This window comes from Homo sapiens, chromosome 9, assembly GCF_000001405.40.
Source record: "Homo sapiens chromosome 9, GRCh38.p14 Primary Assembly".
Lineage (NCBI taxonomy): Eukaryota > Metazoa > Chordata > Mammalia > Primates > Hominidae > Homo > Homo sapiens.
This window is the reverse complement of record NC_000009.12, coordinates 132,729,166-132,753,938: the sequence shown is the minus strand read 5'-3', so window position 1 is coordinate 132,753,938 and position 24,773 is coordinate 132,729,166. Positions and strand designations below refer to the sequence as shown.

At 48.6% G+C, this 24,773-nt stretch overlaps 1 protein-coding gene across 12 annotated transcripts in view, besides 3 other annotated features; it reads left to right on the top strand.

The window, feature by feature from the left end:
* The window catches only part of AK8 (adenylate kinase 8), a 153,469-nt gene that overhangs the window by 125,108 nt on the left and 3,588 nt on the right, over positions 1–24,773 (top strand). The window lies entirely within an intron of this gene.
* Positions 8,132–8,631: an enhancer, noted in NCBI's record as "NANOG-H3K4me1 hESC enhancer chr9:135620695-135621194 (GRCh37/hg19 assembly coordinates)". NCBI's record gives its function as "activates a minimal SCP1, AML or CMV promoter by ChIP-STARR-seq in naive H9 embryonic stem cells {active_cell/tissue: H9 hESC(naive)}" and the evidence as "EXISTENCE:reporter gene assay evidence [ECO:0000049][PMID:30033119]".
* Positions 19,827–20,327: an enhancer, noted in NCBI's record as "H3K4me1 hESC enhancer chr9:135608999-135609499 (GRCh37/hg19 assembly coordinates)". NCBI's record gives its function as "activates a minimal SCP1, AML or CMV promoter by ChIP-STARR-seq in naive H9 embryonic stem cells {active_cell/tissue: H9 hESC(naive)}" and the evidence as "EXISTENCE:reporter gene assay evidence [ECO:0000049][PMID:30033119]".
* Positions 20,328–20,828: an enhancer, noted in NCBI's record as "H3K4me1 hESC enhancer chr9:135608498-135608998 (GRCh37/hg19 assembly coordinates)". NCBI's record gives its function as "activates a minimal SCP1, AML or CMV promoter by ChIP-STARR-seq in naive H9 embryonic stem cells {active_cell/tissue: H9 hESC(naive)}" and the evidence as "EXISTENCE:reporter gene assay evidence [ECO:0000049][PMID:30033119]".

Here is a 24,773-nt window from a genome sequence, read left to right as displayed (position 1 = left end):
GGAGGGCTCCTTCTGCATCATAAAATGGAGGCAATGATGGGACCTAATTCAGACGGCAGTGGAAAGACTGGATGAGTAAATACGAAGAGGAGACCTTCGTGCATGCTCCCTGCAGTCCCCATTGTCACCTGCGTGCCACTCCAGGAGGCTGCAGGGATGGGGCGTGAGAGCACTTGTCTCCTGCCCACTTGTCTCCTTCCCTAGAGAACATGGAGGGGCTTCATGCTCTCCACAGCGGGGATCCCCTCACTGCGAGGGTGCCCTTCCGCCCCAGCTGGGCCACCCTGGGGATGACCCATACCCTCCAGCAAGGAAACTGGCTTAAAGCCACCAGCCTGAGCCTGTGCCAGGGGCCCTTCCCTACCAGGATGTGAGTACCTGGGGATTAGTCCAGGGATGGCTTCAGCCCCCACACTCATGAGCTCTCTCTGCCCCAGCCACCCCAAATAAAGCCATCGTCTCAGTAAACAGTGTGTGCAGCTTTGTGAACATGTCCAATGAGCAGTTCTAACTGGGCTGCTGCCCCTAAGCCCTTCCCAGATAGGAGTTGTGGGGACCCTGCCACTGGGGCCAGGCAGAGGGTCAGGGCTGCCTGCCAGCCAGGCCCACATCCTGCAGGGCCAGGCCCAGCCCCTAGCATAGGATGGAGGTTGTTCTTGGCAGTGGAGCGGCAAGATGAGAGAGCCCAGAACCAGCTGGCTTACTAGGGGGGTGACAGGGAGGTTACTTTATGTCTCTGATCCTCAGATTCCCCAGGACAAAAGGAGGTCAACAGTGGCCTGGCTCCTTCCTCCTGGGAATGCGGCGTGATTCCCCAGTGTAGAATGATCAGCTCGGAGCCCAGTTGTGGCAGCTGCTATTCCTAGTAGTAAGGGAAGGACTTACACTTCAATTTGTTCGCTCCAGAAGTATTTATTGTAGGCTTCTCTTTGCCAGGCACCGTTCCAGACGCTGGGGCCACAGAAACAAGCAAAACATTCCCATGGGAGGAGGCGACGTTAGACAAATAAACAGAGCAGAAATACCTGCTAGGACCAAGTGCTTTATGTGGGATTAAAATGCCATGGCATGATGGAGTAGGGGCAAGCTGACTGGTTTGGATGCGCTGGTGGGGGAAGGTGCCTCTGAGGAGGGCTGGTTTAAGCTCAGACTTGAATGGAAGGAAGGAGCCAGCTGCAGGAGGAGGGGAGGAAGAGTTCTGCAGGTGGGGTGGGTGGGGGGCAGCCAGCGTCCATGTCCTGGGCCAGGGACAGCCAGGCCCATTCCAGGAGAGCTGGGGGAAGGGAAGCCACTGGAGGAACAAGGTGGGGGCAGGGTGTGGCGAAGGTGGTTATTTCAAACATTTGATTACACAGGGCATCTACTTATTGTAGAAAAGTTAGAAAATGTAGGCCGGGTGCAGTGGCTCACGCCTGTAATCCCAGCACTTTGGGAGGCTGAGGCGGGCAGATCACGAGGTCAGGAGATCGAGACCATCCTGGCTAACATGGTAAAACCCCATCTCTACTAAAAATACAAAAAATTAGCCAGGCGTGGTGGCGGGCGCCTATAGTCCCAGCTGCTCGGGAGGCAGAGGCAGGAGAATGGCGTGAACCCAGCTGGTGGAGCCTGCAGTGAGCAGAGATCACGCCACTGCACTCCAGCCTGGGCGACAGCGAGACTCCGTCTCAAAAAAAAAAAAAAAAAAGTTAGAAAATGTAGCTAAGTAAAAATATTTCCAATATCCAAAGATAACTAATGTTGACATTTGGGTGTATGTCTATTCCAATATTTTAAAAACTACTCTAAACAGGTCTTGGCTGGGCACGGTGGCTCGCACCTATAATCTCAGTGCTTTGGGAGGTCGAGGCGCGTGGATCATTTGAGGTCAGGAGTTCGAGACCAGCCTGACCAACATGATGAAACCCCATCTCTACTAAAAATACAAAAAAAATTAGTCAGGTGTGGTGCTGCATGCCTATAGTCCCAGCTACTCAGGAGGCTGAGGCAGGAAAATCACTTGAACCCAGGAGGCAGATGTTGCAGAGCCCAGATCGCGCCACTGCACTCCAGCCTGGGCGACAGAGCGAGACTCCTTCTCAAAAATAAAAAAATAAGAAAATAAATAATAAAAATGAAAACAGGGTCTTAATTGCACACATTATATCACAGCCCTTTCCTCTATGGAATATACCATGAACCCGTGTTCACAAACACTGTCCCCAGCCTCACCGTCAGTGGCTGCACAGTACTTCTTTGAGAGCATTTGTGCTCGTCAGCCGTCACACAAGGACCAGGATTATCACAAGTTGATGGCCCTTGGGGGAGATGCCACCAGGATGTCACAGGCTTCTCGGCTGGAATCATAGACTTAATTCACAGACAACTAACAAAACCCAGAAGTTGTTTTTTTTTTTTTTGGAGTCTCACTCTGTCATCGTGGCTAGAGTGCAGTGGCATGATCTCGGCTCACTGCAACCACCAGGATGTTGCAGGCTTCTCAGCTGGAATCATAGACTTAATTCGCAGACAACTAGCAAAACCCAGAAGTTGGTTTTTTTTGTTTTTTTTTTTTTTTTTTGGAGTCTCACTCTGTCATCCTGGCTGGAGGGCAGTGACATGATCTCGGCTCACTGCAACCTCTGCCTCCCGGGTTCAAGCGATTCTCCTGCCTCAGCCTCCTGAGTAGCTGGGATTACAGGCGTGCACCACCACGCCCGGCTAATTTTTGTATTTTTAGTAGACATGGGGTTTCACCATGTTGGCCGGGCTGGTCTTGAACTCCTGACCTCAAATGATCGGCCTGCCTTGGCCTCTCAAAGTGCTGGGATTACAGGCGTGAGCCACGGCACCCGGCATAAAACCCAGAAGTTTTAAATTGCAGTTCTGTGTACCTGGCCAAAGACGTGGAAAAGCTTTATCTAGAAATTCAGGTTTCACCTCCTTGGGTCGGTTCACTTAAGAAGTTTAACCTGGGAGCATAACCCAGATAAACAGTTTAACCCTGGGTTCTTTTCCATAGGCAGTTAGGGGAGGCTTCTCTTGGCCTGGCCAAGCCACAGGGCTGGCCTCTGGGTTAGGCCTTCCAGGCGGTGACCTTTACCCCCACAAATCGAGGTTTCTTCCGATTGCAAAGTCAAGTCCAGGGTACAATTTGTACCTAATTTCCATTGGTATCTCTGGATGCAGCCTGACGTTAGGTGCAGATTTGGGAGGGGAGGGAGCCTAAGGGAGCTTCTCTCTGAAGTTGCTCTCATGGGGGAGCTCGCGCCCTGGTGGGATTCACCGGATGGAGTCCTTTGAAGCGCTAGAATCTGAACCCTTATCTTTGCTAGTCCACAAGTAAGAGCTTCCAATCCTATTTAGAAATTTGAGAAGAAAGCGTGGTTTTCCTGGAATGAAAGCTCAGAGGGGATGTCCCAGAGTTGGAATATTCAGGGAAGTCCTTGGAATTGTGCTGGGAAGGCCACAGAGGTATGTCTTCTGTTGGCCACTGCTGCCCCGATGCCGGACAGAAAGATGTGTAGAAGAAATGAAGAGGAGCCGGGCGCGGTGGCTCACACCTGTAATCCCAGCAGTTTGAGAGGCCAAGGCGGGTGGCTCACTTGAGGTCAGGATTTGGACACCAGCCTGGCCAACATGGTGAAACCCCATCTCTACTAAAAGTACAAAAATTAGCCGGGTGTGGTGGCACATGCCTGTAATCCCAGCTACTCGGGAGGCTGAGGCAGGAGAATCGCTTGAACCCAGGAGGCGGAGGTTGCAGTGAGCCGAGATCGCACCATTGCACTCCAGCCTGCATGACAGAGCCCATGAGAAGAGGTGAAGGAAGAGAGGCTGGTTCAGGGGTGGGCACAGAGAGGCCAAGAAGCCTGATGCATCAGGGCCTCCCAGGCCTCCCCAAGATGCGTACACATGGCAGAAACTCAATATAAGTGTGCTGTCAGTATCTCCAAGAGTGTGCTGTCAGTATCTCTAGGAGTGTGCTGTCAGTATCTCGAGGTAAGGAAGACAGAGGAAGGAGGTTGGGGAAGAAATAAAAGGATGGCAAGTGCACGCCCACCCCAACACCAGCCCCATGGCCTCCTGCAGCAGCGTCTGTTCTCTGCGCCGGTTCTGGTGGCTCCTGGCTGTGGGCTTTCCCACTCACCCCTTCAAGTGCCCTCAGCTCCAGTCCACCCCTGCAAGAGGATTTTCATATCGATTTAAAAAATAAAAATTATCGATGAACAAATCTGTCTCAAGAAAAAAAAAAAACAGAGTAAATGAAGCACTTAAGAGACTTCCTGCATTTGGGAAACAGCAACACAGCCCAGTGGCTCCCACCCTGGATGTTAGAGTCCAGCAGCTGTGAGTCGCGAGTTCTTCTGGGTCACTCACCAGCCGATATCGGGGCAAGCTGCCTCATCCATAAGATGGGGGTGACAGTTACACCTACGTCCCGGGCTTGCCATGAAGACGCAGTGAGAGGTATCCTGTGCATCCTCACAGAGTGCCGGGCACGGGGCACCTGAAGAGCCAGCACACCTTACGAGGGGCCTCGCACAAGAGCATCCAGGGAGGCGGTAGTGCCCAGTGGTTATGGCAGGCCAGAGCGTCCAGCACCTGAACCCAGAGCCTGCCTTTACTAGGGATGGGACCTTGAGAAGCTGCATAACTTCCCTGAGACCCAGTTCCCACACCTATCAAATAGGGGATGGTGGTTGTGCCTAACTCCTACAAAGAGAAGATTGCGTGAAATTATGTTATGTAGCATGCTTAGTTCGTGAAAAACATTGTAAATATTTACTGGGCGCAGTGGCTCACGCCGGTAATCCCAGCACTTTGGGAGGCCAAGATGGGCAGATCACCTGAGGTCAGGAGTTCGAGACCAGCCTGGCCAACATGGTGAAACCCGTCTCTACTAAAAATACAAAAATTAGCCGGGCTTGGTGGCAGGTACCTGTAATCCCAGCTACTCAGGAGGCTGAGGCAAGAGAATCGCTTGAACCCGGGAGGCGGAGGTTGCAGTGAGCCGAGATCGCGCCATTGCACTCCAGCCTGGGGTCAAGAGTGAGACTTAGTCTCAAAACAAACAAACAAACAAACACAACTTAGCCACTTCATCAGAAAAATTATCCATCCAAGAAATTAGTGTGTACTTCACCCTCCTTGTCCAAACCATATTTAGCAAACAACTTGTGGATCTCATCCCTTTGCCGATTGCAAACTGGTCTTTTCATAGTACATATTTGCATCTTTTAATATCGAGATCAACCCCAAGTACCACGGGCAGATGGTGTCTGTGTGTATCTAAACACACGTGGTAAAAGCTGTGGGAGGCCAGGAATGTGCCTGGCTCATTCACCACTAGATCTGTAGTTCCTAGGGCAGCCAGCAACTAGCATCTAGGAAGCACTGGGTAAATATTTGTTGAATGAATGAATGAACATCTTTTGATTTTCTTAAACCAGAGGCATTGATTTGCACTGAGCTATTCACACTTCCTCACCTGAGCCCTCTCGCACCTGAGCACCTGGGAGGCTGGCACCTGGGTGAAAGGTCGTCCCACTCTTTGTCCTTCTCAGTGGCCAGCATCTGCTGTGTCCTTGTCCCCATTCTGCCCACTCTTATTGAAATGAAGTTCTGATTCCACAGTGATATGGGGGGTTTGATAAGAGACTGAGAGCACTGCTCAGACACATGAAGCTTTAAATCTGTGTGTTTTATGATCTGCGCATAAGAACTTCCGGTCCAGTCTTACGGTTATCTACGTGTTATCACCATTATGTTGGTCCTGTAGCTGAAAATGCACACTTTTCCGTCTTTAACAATAAACCTGTTCTTGTGATTTTGTTTATTTATTTATTTATTTATTTCTGAGACAGAGTTTCACTCTTGTTGCCCAGGCTGGAGTGCAATGGCACCGTCTCAGCTCACTGCAACCTCCACCTCTTGGGTTCAAGCGATTCTCCTGCCTCAGCCTCCCAAGTAGCTGAGACTACAGGCGCCCATCACCATGCTCGGCTAATTTTTGTATTTTTAGTAGAGATGGGATTTCATTATGTTGGCCAGGCTGGTCTCGAACTCCCCTGCCTCGGCCTCCCAAAGTGCTGGGATTACAGGTGTGAGCCACCACGCCCAGCCTGTGATTTTATAATTAGTGTTTTTCTTAATTGTAGAAATAGTACAGTCTCATTGTAAAAAAAAAAATTAAAATTAAAAAATTAAAACCAGACATATAAAGTAAGGCCAGGCATGGTGGCTCACACCTGTAATCCCAGCACTTTGGGAGGCCGAGGCAGACAGATCACTAGAGGTCAGGAGTTCAAGACCAGCCAGGCCAACATGATGAAACCCCCTCTCTACAAAATACAAAAAATTAGCCAGGCATGGTGTAATCCCAGCTACAGGTTGAGGCATGAGAATCGCTTGAACCTGGGATGCGGAGGTTGCAGTGAGCCAAGATTGCACCACTGCACTCCAGCCTGTGTGACAGAACCAGACTCCATCTCAGAAAAAAAAAAATGCTGGGTGCAGTGCCTTATGCCTGTAATCCCAGCACTTTGGGAGGCCAAGGTGGGGAGATCATGAGGTCAAGAGATTGAGACCATCGTGGCCAACATGGTGAAACCAACATGGTGAAACCCCATCTCTACTAAAAATACAAAAATTAGCTGGGTGTGGTGGCACACGCCTGTAGTCCCAGCTACTCAGGAGGCTGAGGCAGGAGAATCGCTTGAACCCAGGAGATGGAGGTTGCAGTGAGCCGAGATTGCACCACTGCACTCCAGCCTGGCAACAGAGCGAGACTCTGTCTCAAAGAAGTAATTCAGCAATGAGAAATCTTGTCCATATATCTTTACACTTGCACAAATATTTGCTTAAAATAAATTTCTGAACCAAGATACTTGGCTACCCTGAGCCTCAGTTGCCGCATATATGCATTGAGAATACTGTTTACTTTGCAAGATGATATAAAGTAACAACTGTAAAATATTTAAGGCAGTTGTATTTGATGAATGATAGTTTGGTTTTATTTTAAACCAGAATGCATTAAACCCAGCTTGACTACTAATTGATACTTCATTTTCAATTAGGCCCCAATTAAATATTTTAGACCAAGTGAACTTACTTTCTTTTAATGTGCAGTTGGCCCTTCTTTCATCCTCGAGGCAGAGACTGAGTGCTCGCCTCACGTGTGGCCCGGGGGTTCCTGCAACTTTTCCACCTGGATCTATTTTGCTGCCTCCGTAAGGCATTCTTGTAGACCTCACTGGTTGCTCCATTTGACAGCACACTGTCCACTGCGCAATTAAGGGGTGGAAGCCAACCCCGACTGTCATGTGCGTTTGTGGAAGAGGAAAGTGATGGATAGAGCCTCCCTGTTGCGCAAGTCGGAATCTCTATTAGCATGTGATAATAGTATTGGCTAACTAAATTGGGTGATTATCACATATCAGCCTCGATGCTAAGGCCACGGGTTAGTGCCTTTAATCCTCCTCACCTGTTGCCATCCCTGTCCCCTTAGATGGGGAACCTGGGGCTGCCCTTGGCCATGCATTCCTGGTGTCTGCAGAAGGGTATGAGCCTTGATCCTGAGAGTGCAGACCCCAGAGCCCCAGCTCTGGCTGCTGCCCAGGCCCTACTCGCAAAAGTGGGAGTAAAATACATTCTTTCATAGGTATCCACAGGAGGACTGAAGGTGGTAACCACAGGGCTTCTAATTTGTTTCGTGTGTGTGTCTATGTGTGTGTGTGCATGCATGTGCTTGGCTCAGGTGAATGCCAGACTGGCTTGGAAGCGAGAGGAGAGAATAGAACCATCTCAGAGGACTGACTGGTTGGCTGCGCGGCTCCGATGGTCTCACCCTGCTCCCCACAGAGTGCACTAGGATTGCTGGATGAAGGCAGCGTCTCCCTAAACTCGACATCCCCGTTGCTCCAGCTGGGAAGTCAGCCACCTTTGTCTCCTCTGTCCTTCGGCTCACAGAATTCTGGAAGCATCCTCTCTCTTCCTGAGCACCAGGATCATTTTACTCCTTGGGGAGGGTGCATTTGCTCTTCTCTGCTGATTTCCTTCCAAACATACTTCAAGGAGCTGATGACAGCTTCAAGTTTGGGTCCAAGTTTAGACCGCATTTAAAGAAGCTCCTGGTGGCCACCTTGTACGGATGGACAAAGTCAGGCCTGAGGGAAACCCTTAGCTTGGGGATTGTCTCAGGTGGACTGTCTTGAGGGACCCTTGCACTGGGGACATTGGGCTTCGAGGGCACACAGGGTGTGAACAATACAGGGGGCTGTGGACCTCCCCTCCACTACCCGGAAAGAAAGGGATCAGGGCCCCAGTGTCACCACGGTCATGAAGTCAGCATCCGGAATTAGTGTCCCGAAGAGAACATAGTAAAACAAAAGGCGATCGCATGCTGAGCCTTTTTAATCACCTAATGGCCCAGACACCCGACTCTGGAGCTCAGGTTTCTGCCGGGGCCCAGCTCGGGTACTGTAACTACACCCAAGTTTGGCCCGCCTTCTCCACATTACAGCCGCGACACGGACGCACACAATTGAAGTATTTGAGAACAATGAAATATGCATGGCTATCTGTGACAGCCCCGTAAAGTCGAGCAATTAGCCGCGTAATCCGAGAGAGGGAGCCGGCCCTGGGCAGCCCGCGGTTCCCCATTAGTTAAATGCATTTTGTACGTCCTCATCCCATCAAATCAACTAACACTTCCTTTAATTGGTTCATGAATTATACAGCCGCCCCGCATTATAATTTAATCGCCTGTAAACATTCATAAGGCCCCACCGTAAAGCGTATCTCGCTCATTAATTCGTTAATTTCAGCAGATGGAAGGGGAGATCGGATGAACGGTGGCAGAACAGAGCGCTTTGGGCAATGGAAGAAGGGGAAATAGGTGGGGGCCGTTTAGGTTTTTTAAGGGCTGTCAGAAACTCAATCTGTGAGCTGTCAGCAGCCCGGACCCGTCTCCACCCCCTCCACTCCGCAGACTGCGGGAAGTGACTGGCGGATTCATATGGAGGCTTGTCAACCGTCTTTAAACATCAAGCCAGCGGGTAAACCGAGCCCAGTGTAAATTAATTCTTGTCTTACGGCCCCCCTTTCTCTGTCCCCATGAATATTTCATGGCGGGCAGCATAAATATTAATTCTAATAGCTCTGCACAGTGGTTATTATTTCTGTTTTATGACAAATATTCATAAAATATTCAGGACCCTTTCTTAGAACATTTACACACTTGATTGTGAATTTTCCCAGTTTCCTGGGGACACTGTAAACATATTGGGGTTCTCTTGATGGACTTTTCCCCCTTAATTAATACCACTGGTTATTAATATTTAATCAGATTTAGGTTTTTCCAGAAGTGAATCCTATTAGATTAGAGGGCTAAAGGGTATGTTTTTCCCCTTCGGTCTGTAAAATGGGAGATTTCTGCTATCATGAGACCGTTTCTCTTTGACACCTGCGTGATCTGACCGAGGATGACCTCCTTGCCTTTTTATTTTGAAAACAGCATCTATCCTTTTTTTTTTTTTTTTGGCACGTGTCTATTCTCCTGTTACTTTTTAGTGGAGAGCTCTGGCAGCAACCCAACTTACTGTAATGAAATTCTTCAGAAGATGCCACTGCAATATTTATGCAAGGATTTAACATAATTTTGGAGTAATTAAAGTGTGGGTTTAACAACCACGGTGGTGGATTCTTTAGGCAAGGCAGCTGTGATTGGGGACGAAGGGTCTTTTGGAATCTGTGGAATTTATCTTTAGTCCTGAGAGGCAGCTGTGCCCTGTGTCCTTAGTGAGGCACACTGGAGGGTGTGAGCCGGCACACCCCCTACGTAACGGGGGACACAGAGGAGTCTGAGGTGGGGTCTAGCACACCGGGAGAGTGGGGGCACATAAGCAGGGTCAACCCCCGTCCCTCCCGCTAGCTGGCTTGAGTTCCGGCAGGTTCACTGTCCCTCTCCTGATCCTCACTGGAGATTTCAGGAAGGCTCCGCCAACTTCAGGGAACAAAGCACGATTATTTTACATCTGAGAACTTAGCGGAGCAGCAACGGAGTGTCCTAGATTCAGATGGCCCTGGAGTCCAGCCTGGAGGCAACACTTCACCTCTCAGAGCCCGAGTCTTTGCACCCTCGAAATGGGCACGATCACAGTACCGGGGTCGTGTACTTCTCACGAGGATTAAATAAGATAGCACGTGCATGTAACGTGCTTACTACCAGTGCCCGGCAGGTAGGAAATATCAATAAAACAGTTTTGGTGCTGATTAATGGAAGGCAAAGGATTAAAATTAAAACCAAGAAGTAAAACACTTGTAGACAGAGGGATTCATGGAAAAGCTCCAGCTGCAGAAAAGGTTAAAAGACAGGTTTCTCTGCAGCACGTTTATATAGATAGGTACATACATAGCAGAGAAGTCAAGGCTGGGGAATCTGGCGGTGGGTAGCGACAGTGCTGTGGCAGAGGAACACTGGAATGTGCTTATGTAACTTTTCACCAGAGACAGATTTTAAAGCAGCAGTTGTCACTGATGGAGACTGACTCTGAGAAAGGAAACCTCAAAATTAGCACACCTACCCGTGTCTCCACTGCCCTGTTTCCAGTGACCAGTGACGAGGAGATGCACTTGTCCCCCAGGTGACCCAGGGATCCTGGATCTGCACACCCTGCTCTCAGACCCGTGCCTGTGGGGCCGCCCGACGGCAGGTCAGGTCGCGAGCAGAGGCACGTGGGTGGGCCCCCATGGCAGAGCATCTGCTGTGTTTCCTGCCTCGAATCTCTTCCAGCTGATCTGTTGCAGGTGGAGAAAGATGACATTGACTGCAGCTGGCTCTGAACCTGGGCCTCACAGCACAGCCCCGGGGAGCTAAAGCTACACACGCAGCCAGGGCTTGTGGCTTGAGCTGAGCAGTGGGAGGCCAGGCCCCCCTCCTCCCCTTGTTCCTTCAGCGGAATCACAATGGAGTGCTGTGACCAAGGGCACCGACACTGGAGAATTCACCTGGGTTGAGTCGTGGCTCCATCGCTTCTGGCGGGGGAACTTGGATTGGTTGCTGAACTCCTCTGTCCCTCGGTTCCCTCATCTGTTCTAATGACACCCCCGCCTCTCAAGCTTGTGATGAGGATGAAGTGGCCTCACGGAGGCTAATAGAAGAGTGCTGGTGTGTGGGCCCACGTGGGTTCTGTGTTGTTATTACATATTAAGTGTCTTGTCAGGATGCAATCTCGGGAAGCAGATGCTGAGACAGGGTCAGGAGTGAAGAGGAGTTAATGGGGAAGGCACACCTGTACCAGGAAAAGAGCCCAAAGTAAGGTGGGTGAGGAGCCATGGATCATGACGCAGACCTGGCACAGCCCCTCAGAGGGCTGCGAGGGGCAGAAATGCCAGGTGCTGGTACCCCTGTCATGCTTAGTTTTTGGCCAAAGGTCACCCCAGAGTGTGACCTTGGTTCAAAAGCTTGGGTTAAAAATCCATTGGTTGGCTAGCACCGTGGCTCACGCCTGTAATCCCAGTACTTTGGGAGGCCACGGTGGGTGGATTACTTGAGCCCAAAAGACCAACCTGGGCAATATGGTGAGACCCTGTCTCTACAAAAAATGTTTTTAAAAATTAGCTGGGAGTAGTGGCATGTGCTGTAGTCCTAGCTGTTAGGGAGGCTGAAGTGGGAGGATCGCTTGAGCCCGGAAGGTCGAAGCTGCAGTGAGCTGTGATTGTGTCATTACACTCCAGCCTGAGCAACAGAATGAGACTCTATCTCTCTCAAAAAAAAAAAAAAAAAAAGTCCAAGTCCATCAACTCGTGGATGCATAAACAAAATGTGATAGATCCAAAGAATGGAGCACTGTTTGGCTGCACGAGGAATGAAGTTCTGATCCATGCGACAGTCTGGATGAACCTTGAAAACATCAGGCTGAGTGAAAGCAGCCTGGCACATTGGCCCTCGTGGATATTCTATGTAATTATGTGTTAAGTGCTTTCTATGGGTCATCTCATTTAATCCTTAAGACAATCTTGTGAAGTCCTCTTTCTTTTTATCCTAGGTGGAGACTTGGAGAGCCATGTCTTGTGAAATGTGCAGAATAGGAAAATCCGTAGAGACAGAAAGTCCATCAGTGCTTGCTTAGGGCTGGGAGCTGGGGAAGGGGAAGTGACTGTTCATGGGTACAGGGTTGCCTTTTGGAGTGATGAAAATGTTCCATACTTAGATTGTGTTGATGATGGCACAACTCTGAATATACTAAATCCATTGAATTAGACTCATTACAGGGGTGAATTATAGCTCAGTAAAGATGTCAAAACAAAAACAAAAACGAAAACTAGGGCTCAAGACCCTCACGATGCTTCAGTTGGAGGCTGCGGTGACCCACCCCTTACAGCTGAGCTCTTTCTGGAAGGGGGATCTGAGTGGGGCCTCTTGGCATCGGCCACACCTCAGGACACGGAGGAAATGTTCACCAACCCAGCTGTTTTTGGGGGGCTGTTGCTGACCAATGGATCTTGACTGGCGTCCAAACAGAGCGACTTCAGTGTTGATCAGTGTTCCCACTGTCAAGCTAAGTGCTTGTTAGAGCTCGGAGTACCAGGTAGAAGGCGTGGTGCAGTGCCCAGTGAAGATGGTGGGTTTCCAGGAGCATGCGGGAACTTTGTCTGCACTGACTGCTAACTTCCAAGTGTGCACAGGCATGAAGGAGCAGTGTCGGGGGGATTCGGACACAGGCCCTGCCTGGAACCAGGAAAAAGACTCGGCCAGAGTTTTTAAAGTGTGCTCCTGTGCCCCATACCTGCACCTGAGAGCTGCTGGTGCAGATGGTGCCGTGACCTGGCACAGACTGGCTGGGCTTGCCGTGGGTGATTCAGCTTGCCCAGGGTGCCCCCAGGAAATGGGGGGAAAAGGCACTCCCACCATGTGGCAGGAAGGCTGGGTGGCCAGGTGCCACTTGGGAACAGGCAGATGATAGCGAGGGTCCTGACTGGGGATAGGACCCCCAGGCCCACCATCTTCTGAGAGTAGGACAAACACACCAGATGCCACCTCAAAGAAGTCTTCTGGACACTAGGATTGGTCAACTCTTCTGCATCCCCATCCATCAGCGAAGGAGCCAAATGCATCTGATGAGGAGTGCAGCCCTGGAGATGAAGATGACCGTTCATCAACTGTACTTTCCAAGGCCTGGGTGGGTTCCTCGCCTGGGCCCACCGTGCAGGTGAGGGATGCAGCCCCAGAGTGGGGCGGGGGGGTGCTCAGCTCTAAGACTGGAGGAGGCCAGAGGTGCACAGGTCTCTGTTCATCATCCCCAAATCCAAACGGGGAGCCGACCAGAGCCAAGTCCCACCCATTCCAGCTGCTCATTCCACTGCGTAGTCGGGAACCTTACTTCTTCCCTCTCACCTCCCTAGAAATGTCTATTCCATGTCTCACACCTCTGGAGAAGGCTCAAAGCAAGTAACTCAGCCCACCACACACGGCCACTAAGTGCAAGATGAGCTCCGTGATGGAGAGAACTGGTACCCCCATGTGGTTATGGGCACGAACTTGGGAGCAGACAGTCCTGGGTTCAAGTCTCTGCCTCTTTTTAGCCAAATAACCTTGTGCAGGCATGTGATCTTTCTAGGCCTCATTTGTTTGCTGATGTGAAAAGTAAGCATAATCCAGTACCCAGACCTCATTTGGGTGTTGTGAGGATTACATAAAACCAGACATTTACATCACCTGGCTTTAAACACAGTGCCTGATAAAAAGTGGCTGTCTGACCAGTACCCGTGTTGGTAAAATGGGAACAGTAATCCGTGCTCCGCCTTAGGGGGCTGCTGTGGCAGGGGCGTGCTAGAACTGGGCTGCACCAGCTGCTGAGGTCTGAATGTGCACTTCTCTTCCGCATTTAAGGACGCCATGTTGGCAGCTTGAAATTTACTAGATGGGGATATTGGCAAATGCTACAAATCAGGGGTCGTCCCTCCTCACTGCTAAAAGCTGGTTTACCAGCATGCCACTGTGTGGGAACAGAACAAGAATGCGTACTTTGCCCCACAAGGTAAGGGCCTTGTTCTGCCACTACTTTATAACACCCCCGCCCCCAATCAACCTGCCTTCCTCCCCCTTGGGGCCTGGACCTAGTTTATAGAAGGCAGGGCTGTTGCTGTTGGTACACAGAGCATTTCTCTTTTCTTCCTGACTTCCATGTTAGTAGAAGTTGACTTTTTATTTTATTTTAATTGTTTTTAGTGAGAGGGTCTCACTGTGTTGCTCAGGCTGGCCTCAAACTTCTGGCCTCAAGAAGCCCTCCTGCCTCAGCCTCCCAAGTAGCTGGGATTATAGGCATGAGCCACTGTGCCTGGCTTGAAGTTGACTTAAAAAACAAAACAAAACAAAAACAACTCTGGCTTATTTCTCTTTACAAAAATCATATATGTTGTAAAAAGTTTTTTAAATATATGGAGCTAAAAAGAGAAAGATAAGCAGGAACAATCTTTTTTTTTTTTTTTTTTTTTTTTTTTTTTTTTTTTTTTTGAGACAGAGTCACTCTCTGTTGCCCAGGCTGGAATGCAGTGACATGATCTCAGCTCACCGCAACCTCTGCTTCCCAGGTTCAAGCGATTCTCCTGCCTCAGTCTCCCAAGTAGCTGGGATTACAGGCATCTGCCATCACACCTGGCTTATCTTTAGTAGAGACGGGGTCTCACCGTCTTGGCCAGGCTGGTCTCAAACTCCTAATCTCAGGTAATCCACCTGCCTCGGCCTCCCAAAGTGCTGGGATTATAGGTATGAGCCACCACGCCCAGCCCAGAAATAATCATTCTTAATGTTGCAGTCTTTTTCTTTTCTATACATTTTTTTAGTGGGATCAAACAGTATTACCTGATATATAACCTGATTTTTTAAATTAACAATATGTCAGGCCAGGCATGGTGGCTCATGCCTATAATCCCAGCACTTTGGGAGGCTGAGGTTGGAGGGTCACTTCAGCCCAGGAATTCAAGACCAGCCTGGGCAACATAAGAAAAGTCTCTACAAAATTAAAAATTAAAAAATTAGCTGGGTGTGGTACACAAACCTGTGGTCCCAGCTACTTGGGGGACTGAAATGGAAGGATCACTTGAGCCCGGGAGATAGAGGCTGCAGCCAGTCATGATGGCTCCACTGCACTCCAGCCTGGGGGGGCAGAGTGAGACCCTGTCTCAAAAAAAAAAAAAAAAAAAGTCATGAACATATTTCTGCGTTGTTTGTTGTAATAGTGTCCACCAATGACCAAGTGTATCTCCTGGATTACTTCCTTTGGAAACTATCCTTGCCTCAAACGAGATGTTGCCCAAGGGAAACATCCCTGAACTTCCCCTCCCATCCCAGTCTAGCTAGAAATGGACAATAGTTTCATTAGAGCAGCAAACTGTGGTCTGAACAAAGTATTATTTGCATTCTTATGAATGTTTGAATTTACCCTGAGCTATAAAGGACATATTTATTGTGATCAAATTGTACCGATCAACAGAAAAGGAGGCACTTGGTTTTAAAACTTTTTTAAATTAAAAAAAAAGAAGAGTTGAACAGTCATTGGGAATAAACTTGAAGATGTGAAAACTGCCCATGTTAAGATACTTAGGCCAGGTGCGGTGGCTCACGTCTGTAATCCCAGCACTTTGGGAGGCTGAGGCGGGCAGATCACGAGGTCAGGAAATCGAGATCATCCTGGCTAACACAGTAAAACCTCATCTCTACTAAAAATACAAAAAATTAGCCGGGCGTGGTGGCACACGCCTGTAGTCACAGCTACTCGGGAGGCTGAGGCAGGAGAATCACTTGAACCCGGGAGGCGGAGGTTGCAGTGAGCCGAGATTGTGCCACTGCACTGCAGCCTGGGCGACAGAGTGAGACTCTGTCTCAAAAAAAAAAAAAAGTAATTCAGCAATGGGAAATCTTGTGCTAAATATTTATTTAGCACTTAGCACATGCCAGGAATGAAGGACTCAGCGCCCACAAGGCTGTCCCAGCACCTGTGCTCAGACCGCCCACACCCAGGGTACTCAGAGGTGGAGTGTTTTCAATTTATTTGCTTGTTGTATCCTTTTCTGGTCTTATTGTACAATCCAGGACTCACAGTTTGATGATGACTAGTAGAAGTGAGAGTGGACATTCTTGCCTTGTTCTCAATTTTAGGGAGAAAGTGTTTAGTCTTTGGGCATTAAGTATGATCTTAACTATAGTTTTTAAGTAAATGCCCTTTATTGGGTTGAGGACTTTCCCTTCTATTTCTAGTTTGCTGAGAGTTTTTGTTAGGAATTGGTGTAAAATTTTGTCAGATCTTTTTCCACATCTGTTGAGATGATTATAAACTTTTTCTTCTAATGATACAGTCAATTACTTATTGATTGACTTTTGAATGTTAGCTTTCCATTCACAGGCTGAATCCCACTTGGTTGTGATGTATTATTCTTTTTATGTAATGCTAGATTAATTAAATTTCCTAATATTCTGCTGAGGATTTTTGCATTTGTGTTTATGAGGGATGTTGGTCTGTAGTTTTAATGTCTTTGTCTGGTTTTTGGTATCAAGGAAAAGCTGACGAATAAAATCAGTATTCCTTCCTCTATTTTCTGAAAGAGTTTATGTAGTATTTGCATTATAGTTTGTGTAGAATTAATACTGTCATATGGTTCATTGTTTTGTCCATCTGTTTATATGTATACATGCATGTATTCAGAACCTCATTAAATTGTAAGTTTATTCAAGGTCAGAGAACTTCTCTCCCCCAGTTGCCTTCATTGTAATGTCTACTAACTACTTGTGTTTGTGTGTGTGTGTGTGTTAAATATATATAACATAAAGTTTACTATTTTGACCATCTTTAAGTGTAAGTTTAGTAGCATTAAGTACCTTCACATTGTTGTACAAACATCACCACCGCTCATCTCCAGAACTTTTTTGTCATCCCAAACTGAAACTCTAGACTCATTAAAACACTAATTCCCAATTTCCCCTTCCCCCTGCCCCTGGAAGCCCCATTCTACTTTCTGTCTGTATGAATTTGACTACCCTAGGGACCTCAAAAAGTGGAGTCATACAATGTTTGTCCTTTTGTATCTGTCTTATTTTACTTAGCATAATGTCTTCAAGGTTCATCCAGGTTTTAGCATGTGTCAAAATTTTATGCCTTTTTTTTTTTTTTTTTTGAGATGGATTCTCACTCTGTCACCCAGGCTGGAGTGCAGTGGCGCAACCTCTGCTCACTTCAAGCTTCGCCTCCCGGGTTCACGCCATTCTCCTGCTTCAGCCTCCGGAGTAGCTGGGACTACGGGCGCCCACCACCATGCCTGGCTAATGTTTTGTATTTTTAGTAGAGACGGGGTTTCACTGTGGTCTCGATCTCCTGAGCTTGTGATCCGCCCACCTCGGCCTCCCAAAGTGCTGGGATTACAGGTGTGAGCCACCGCGCCCAGCCCAAATTTTATTCCTTTTTAAGACTGATTGGCCAGGCACAGTGGCTCACGCCTGTAACCCCAACACTTTGGGAGGCCGAGGTGGGCGGATCACCTGAGGTCAGGAGTTTGAGACCAGCCTGGCCAACATGGTGGATCCCCGTCTCTACTAAAAATACAAAAAATTAGCTGGGCATGGTGGTACACACCTGTAATCCCAGCTACTCGGGAGGCTGAGGCAGGAGAATTGCTTGAATCCGGGAGGCGGAGGTTGCAGTGAGCCAAGATTGCGCCATTCCACTCCAGACTAGGGGACAAGAGCGAGACTTCGTCTCAAAAAAAAAAAAAAAAAGACTGAATAGTATTTCATCGTATGTACAGTCATGCACTGCATAACGACATTTTGGTCAATGACAGACCACACATACAATGGTGGTCCCATAAGATTCTGATACCCTATTTTTACTGTGCCTTTTCTATGTTTAGGTATGTGTGGATACACAAGTACTTACCATTGCATTATAATTGCCTACAGTATTCAGTGCGGTAACATGCTGTACAGGACTGCAGCCTAGTTGTGTGGTAGGCTATACCAACTAGGTATGAGTAAGTGCACTCCATGGTGTTCACAAAACAACACATTTCTCAGAACGTGTCCCTGTTATTAAGCAACGCATGACTGTATAGACCACATTTTGTTTATCCATTCATCTATTGATGAACAGTTGGGTTGTTTTCACCTTTTGGCTGTTGCGAATCATGCTGCTAAGAACACTGGTGTACAAATATCTGTTCAAGTCCCTGCTTTCGGTTCTTTTGGTTATATCCTCCGAAGTGGTACTGCTGGGTCTATGTTTAATTTTTCGAGGAGCCAGCATAGCATTTTCCACAGGAGGTGCACCATGCTATATTTCCAGCAGCAATGTGCAAGAGCTCCAATCTCTCTACAGTCTAGCCAACACTTACTTTATGGGTTTTTTTTTTAAATGTGTAATAGTCATTCTACTGAGTGTGAAGTAGTATCTCCCTGTGGTTATGTCATATTGCTTTGTGTAGGGTTTTGCAATCATGGAGGCTTATTGGTTAAGATCAAGAAGCCAACACAGTCAGGCCCCTGCCTCTGGGCAGAACCGGGCATCATATTTGCAGTCAGTTATTGTACATCGTATCTCTCAACTTACCCAATCCGTCCATGGATCCAGAGTAAATTTCACCCTCAGTTTCTAGTGATGAAAGCAGGGGATGAGCTTCAAGGTCATTGAGGAAGGAGGCTTCCTGTGTTCTTCAAACAGAATCTCAGGCAGTGTGGCTAGAGTGGGCGTTACCAGGGTGGGTCAGGGGATCCCAGTTGTCATTGGATACCTGACACCAATGCTCAGAGTGACAGAGTATGAACCCCTCAGCTCTCTGGGACCCAGTAGACTAAGTAGATTGAATCAGGGCAGTGGTGCTCAACCCTGGCTGCACATTGCAGCCACCCAAGGAGCTTTCATTTAGTTAGTTATTTAGAGATGGAGTCTTGCTTTGTCGCCCAGGCTGGAGTGCAGTGGCGCGATCTCCACTCACTGCAACCTCCACCTCTCGGGTTCAAGCGATTCTCGTGCTTCAGTCTCCTGAGTAGCTGGGACTACAGGCGCATGCCACCATGCCTAGCTAATTTTTGTATTTTTTAGTAGAGATGGGGTTTCACCATGCTGGCCAGTCTGGTCTCAAACTCTTGACCTCAGGTGATCCGTCCATCTCAGCCTGCCAAACTATTGGGATTACAGGTGTGAGCCACCGTGCCCAACCTATTTATGTATTTAGACAGGGTCTTTCTCTGTCACCCAGGCCGGAGTACAGTGGTGTGATTGTAGCTCACTGCAGCCTCAAACTCCTGGGCTCAAGCGACACTCCCACCTCAGCCTCCCAAGTAGCCAGAACTATCGGTGCGCCACCACACTGGGCTAATTTTTAAAAACTTTTTGTAGAGATGGGGTCTCACTGTGTTGCCCAGGTTGGTCTTGAACTCCTGAGCTCAAGCGATGCTCCTGTGTCAGCCTTCCACAGTGCTGGGGTTACAGGCGTGAGTACCATACCCAGTGAGGAGCTTGTAAAAATCCCATTTTCAGGCCTCACCCTGGACCAAGTATACCAGAATCTCCGGGAGTGGTGCCCAGGCCTCAGTACGCTCAAAGCTCTTGTTGGCTTCAGGGTGCGGCCAAGGATGAGACCATGGATTAGAGCCATGGCTCCCATACCTGCCTGGGCATGAACATCACCCGAGCTTCTGACTTACGAATGCAGGTCTCCCAGCCCCTCACCTGGAGGTTTTGGTTCAGTAGCTCTTGGGGGAAGGGGTGCCTGCAATCTGTATTTTACGCAAGCCTTCCAGATAATTCTCAACACCAGACAAATCTTGGAAGCACGGGTCAGAGTGGCCCTTCTCCAACCTTAATGTGCCTACAAATCACTGAGGATCTTGTTAAAACATGGACTCCAGTGGGTGGGCAGTGGGGCTTGAGATCTGTGTCGTTAATAAGCTCTGGGGAGGTGCTGAGGCAGCTGATCCAGGGTGCCCACCTGGAGCAGGGATTAGAGGCCTCCCAAAACACCTTCCACCTCCCTTCCGGAAGCATCCACCAGCCTGAAGTTCTGCAATCCCAGGGGCAGGTAGAGTGCCCGCCCCTGGCCAGTCCAGGCACCCACTACCCTCACCCACACCAGGAGGGTCTGCCCAGCACACCCTGTTTTGAGTATTCTTTGCTTTCACCTTTCTCCCTTTCCTGGCTCTGTAATAAACAGCAGAAAACAAAAAACCAGTGGCTGGTGGCATGCACAGAGCAGTAGCTCTCAGCAGCGTGGCCTGGGCTGCCCCTGCACCCTGCCACCTGGCCCTCACATTGGGCGCAATGAGCCAGGATAATCAGAAGCTTCCAGCATGGAGCAGGGCCCTCCGCAGCGAGGCTGTCCCCAGCAGCGTGCTCCAAGCACCCATTTGGTGTCCTTGTGCGTCACATCTTGCCAGCCTTTCACAAGCCATTCCCTTGAATGACGACAAGCAGTCTTGGTACGCTGGGTTAAAAGTCTTTCAAATGGGGCTTGTTTATGAAGCAGCTTCAATTATCAGGGATTTCCAAACCGGCTTCCTTTCTACTGGCGTCGGCATCCAGAGCCGCCAGCCGCCGTGACAGCCGTGTTTTGGTGTTGCCGTTGGGCCTTGCAGTACCGGGGGTGCAAGGGGGGCCGCGTGTTCACAGCGTCAGGGATGAAAGCCGCTGCGACACCTGCACTCCCTGTGTTTACACACTCCCCGATCTCGCATGTTTTTTTTTTTTAGTGGCTGTTATTTTGCAGCACGTTGTGAATGGAAGTCATTATCAAGCACATGTGCAAGGAGGACGTGGCTTTTCATGGGCTTTTCATGGCTCCCAGCCGCTCCAGGCTGCTGGGGAAACAGTTGGGCTCGCTTCCTGGAGGGGCAGCTGCAGTTTTCATCAGGCACCAGTGAGGAGCTTCCTGGCGACTGGGCAGAAGCAAAGCTCAGCGAACAGCATGGGCAAAGTGAGAGAGAGAGAAGCAAGGCCACGGGAGAAGCTGGCCTCGAAGGAGAAAGAGATTGTGGCTCAGGGACTCATAGTTGTTTTAAGTTCACACATTTTCTAGAAGCAAGTGGCACTGGAAAAACTGGATATATGATGTGTCCTTTGGGTAACAGTTGCAGGAAACCCAGCCTAGGCAAGAGAAGAGGTGTATATATTCATACATACATGAATATATACATATTCATGTGCCTGAGGCTGGCTACAGGCACAGCTTGAACCAGGGCCCCAAACAATGTCTCTCACCATCTTTCTGCTCTCGTGGCGTGAACTTCATTCTCAGTTACGCTCTCTTTGGGTGCAGGCCCCAGGGAACCCCGGGCTTCCACTTCATTGCCTTTTCAGCTTCATCAGAAATGAGGCTCATTTCTCTCCGGCAAGCCCTGGGGTGGCTTCTCATAGACCCGGCTTGGATCAGCCTTGCATTCTAAACAAATTCCTGTGGCCTGGAGGAGCCAGCACTCAGACTGGTGACCTCTGGGCCTCCCTCAGGCCCAGCCCTGCAGCCCTGGGGCAAACTAGTTCAGGAACCGGTCATAATCCTGAAAGATATAATCCTGAATGCCATAGAAGATATAATCCTGAATGCCATAGAAGATATAATCCTGAATGCCATAGAAGATACAATCCTGAATGCCATAATCCCAAATGTTAAAACCCTGAAAGGTCAGAAATCCCTAATGTCTAAAATTCTGAAAATCACAATGCTGAAAGATCAAAATCCCAAAAATATAATTGTGGAAAAAAACATTGTTTAATTATTTAAATGATGTTTATTTACATATAGAAAAGGGGATTTTTTTTGAGATATTAAAAACACCACAGAGCACTTTGTAGGCCAATTTACACAATAAAATTGGCCATAATAACTCAGGTACACTGAGCATAAACACTCAGGTACACTAATAACTATCACACGGGTATTACAGTTTTGAGCAGATGAACCATCTTCATAAAGAAATAGGTTAAAAATGAAATATATAAATGCATATTACTATGGTTGGTCATTGTGGGAACCCAGCTTTATAACTGTGGTCATCTGAAATACCATGACAGACCACCTACCTTTGTTTTTTGTTTTGTTTTTCAGAGACGGGGTCTCGCAATGTTGCCCAGGCTGGCCTTGAACTCCTGGGCTCAAGGGATCCTCCCACCTCAGCACAACCTGAGTCTTTTGACAGGATTGACCAAAAACCCAGATGGGTCAGCACCACGTATGTAGTCATCCAGAGAGCTGAGCTCTCAAGAAACTTTATCCTTCTCAAATGCAGTTGCATAAATAGGACATCTCGTCATTTACTGAGGAAGTTTTAAACTTTCCATGTCCATATGCAGTGCTCACACACACTCAGCCTTGTGATAAGCCCTTTCATGAAATCAAATTTCTGATGTCCACAGCAGCAGAAGCACAGCCTGTCCAGCCCTCAGAGAGAGACCAGTTCGCCTTCTGTATTGGTTCTCTCCAGAACCCTGGCTGATTACACAGGGTGTGCCAACACTGAGGGCAGGGCAGGGCTTCCCCACCCACCCTCTCAGACTCACAGCCCTCTCCTCTGGAGACACCTGCACAGACACGCCCAAAAGAATCCTTTACCACGTTGCTAGGAGCTCCTTCATCCAGTCAAGGTGACACATAAAATTAAGTCCACAAGTCCACCTATTGTCAACTTGGCACCCATAGCCACCTCCTGACACCATACTTAGTTTCCAAGATGATGCAGCTAGCCTGGGCACTGCTGAAAACACACAAATCACTCGGAATTCGGCTTTCAGGATTTCCACATTTAGGATTTTAATCTTTTGAAATTGTGATTTTCAGGATTTTAGACATTAGAATTTAGACTTTAGGGATTTTGAGCTTTCAGGATTTCGGCGTTTGGGATTGTGACATTTGGGATCCGTCTTTCAGGATTATGATCCATACCCGGTAGTTCCAGCCAAGCCACAGGGAGGCGAGGGGGCCAAGGTGGCTCCCAGAGGGAATCAGGAGAATGAAAAGGCGTCTACAAGCCAAGGAGAACAGTGAGTGTGAGGACAGCATGCAGGATCGGGGGCAGCCCCGGCTTTCCCGAGGCCAGGTTCCTCATCTCACTGTAAAACATGAGGTTTTGGCTCAGATTCATAATGATGTTTAAGGACCAGCACCCCTCTGAGAATCTGATGAGCCCACCCAACACCCAGTAGGGCACACATTCTCCATGTAGTCAGCAGTTTGTATCTAATTTCCGGGGCTCACAGGACCTTTGGGGTGCCTGGCTCAGAATCCCTGACCCAGGTGTTTTCCAAGGCAGTGGATTCCAGTGACCAGGGCCACACTGGGCTCCCTCCAATGCCCCTGACTGAGCAGTTCTGGGCAAGGGGCATAGGCATCCACCATCAAAGGCTCCTGACGGGATTCTGATGCAACTGGCCCCTGGGAATTACATGTCTAAGATCCCGCCCAACCCTAGGGTTTTAGATCACTCTCTGTTCTACCAGTTAGATGAGTTTTTTTGGCAAGGATGGAAAAAAAAAAAAAAAACAGGCAGTGGGCAGAGACTTTAAAAAGAATTCTAGGCCTGGATACCATGGGTTGGTTCATTTCTTCATTCCTTCACACGCATTTCCTGGGCACGTGCTGTTATTGCTCTGGACAGAGCAGGTGACACCTGTGCCCCAAAGGCTGGTCTGGGCCCCATGGGAACCAGTGTCCCATTGGACCTACCAAAGCGCGGCCTCTTGGCAGCCCGCTCAACACATCTGGAGAATTCCAAGGATGTCAGTGAGAGGCTGCTTTTGTTCACTGACTTGGAGGAGGCAGTCTGAAACGAACAGAAAAGCCTCCCACCGTGTTGTCAGCTTGGCACCCATAGGCCCCTCCTGAAACCATATTTAGTTTCCAAGACAATAACAAGGTCATAGTCCCGCCTAACATGACGCAGCTAGCCTGGGCACCGCTGAAAACACACGACTCTCAGAATTCGGCTTTCAGGATCTCCACATTTGGGATTTTAATCTTTCGATCAATCTTTTGATTTAGTCTTTTGATCATGCTAGGAGGGAAGGAGGGAGGTCTCATTTGTGTGTGTTTTCTCCGCACGTAGAGGTGCTTCTGGCCTGAGTTTACTTTCTTGAAAGTGAAATGAATACAAGGCTTTGGGTGCACAGGGAGTGTTTGTTGTCACTGATGTTTTCTTGTTGTTGTCGTTGATGTTGTCACCAACTTTGGCCCCAGTGGAAACTGCACATGCCAGTCATAGGACCTGTCAATGTCGTCAAGGAGGAGACTCTTAAATTTAGTGCCTAAATTCCATCTGGTGAGCTGGCAAACACTGGAACTTCCTGCTGTGTCCGAGACACAGCCAGCACTTGATAAATATATGTATAAATGAATTAAAGGACAAATGAGCAAATAGTGAGCAATGGAATGTTCTAGAAGTTATTTTTTAAAAATGAACCAGATGATTTAGTGCTAGAAGACCTGGCTTAGCTCTGTGGGTGGGAGCTCCTAGGTCTTGGCTCATCCCCAGCCCCACCTCTCCCAGCCAGAGCAGCCACACCTCTTCTCATTCTGTTTGTTCACACACTGTCCCAGGCAGGGCTCCTCAGCCATGCACTTGACATTTGGGGCCAGATCATTATTTGAGGTGGGTGCTGTCCTGTACATTATAAGGTGCTTTCCAGCATCACTGTCCAGCTGGGAAAATAAAACATGTCTCCAGACATTTTGCCAGATGGTTTCTGGGGAACAAAATCACCCCTGGTGGAGAACCACTCTCCTAAGGTCTTATATAGGCCACATATGGTGGCTCA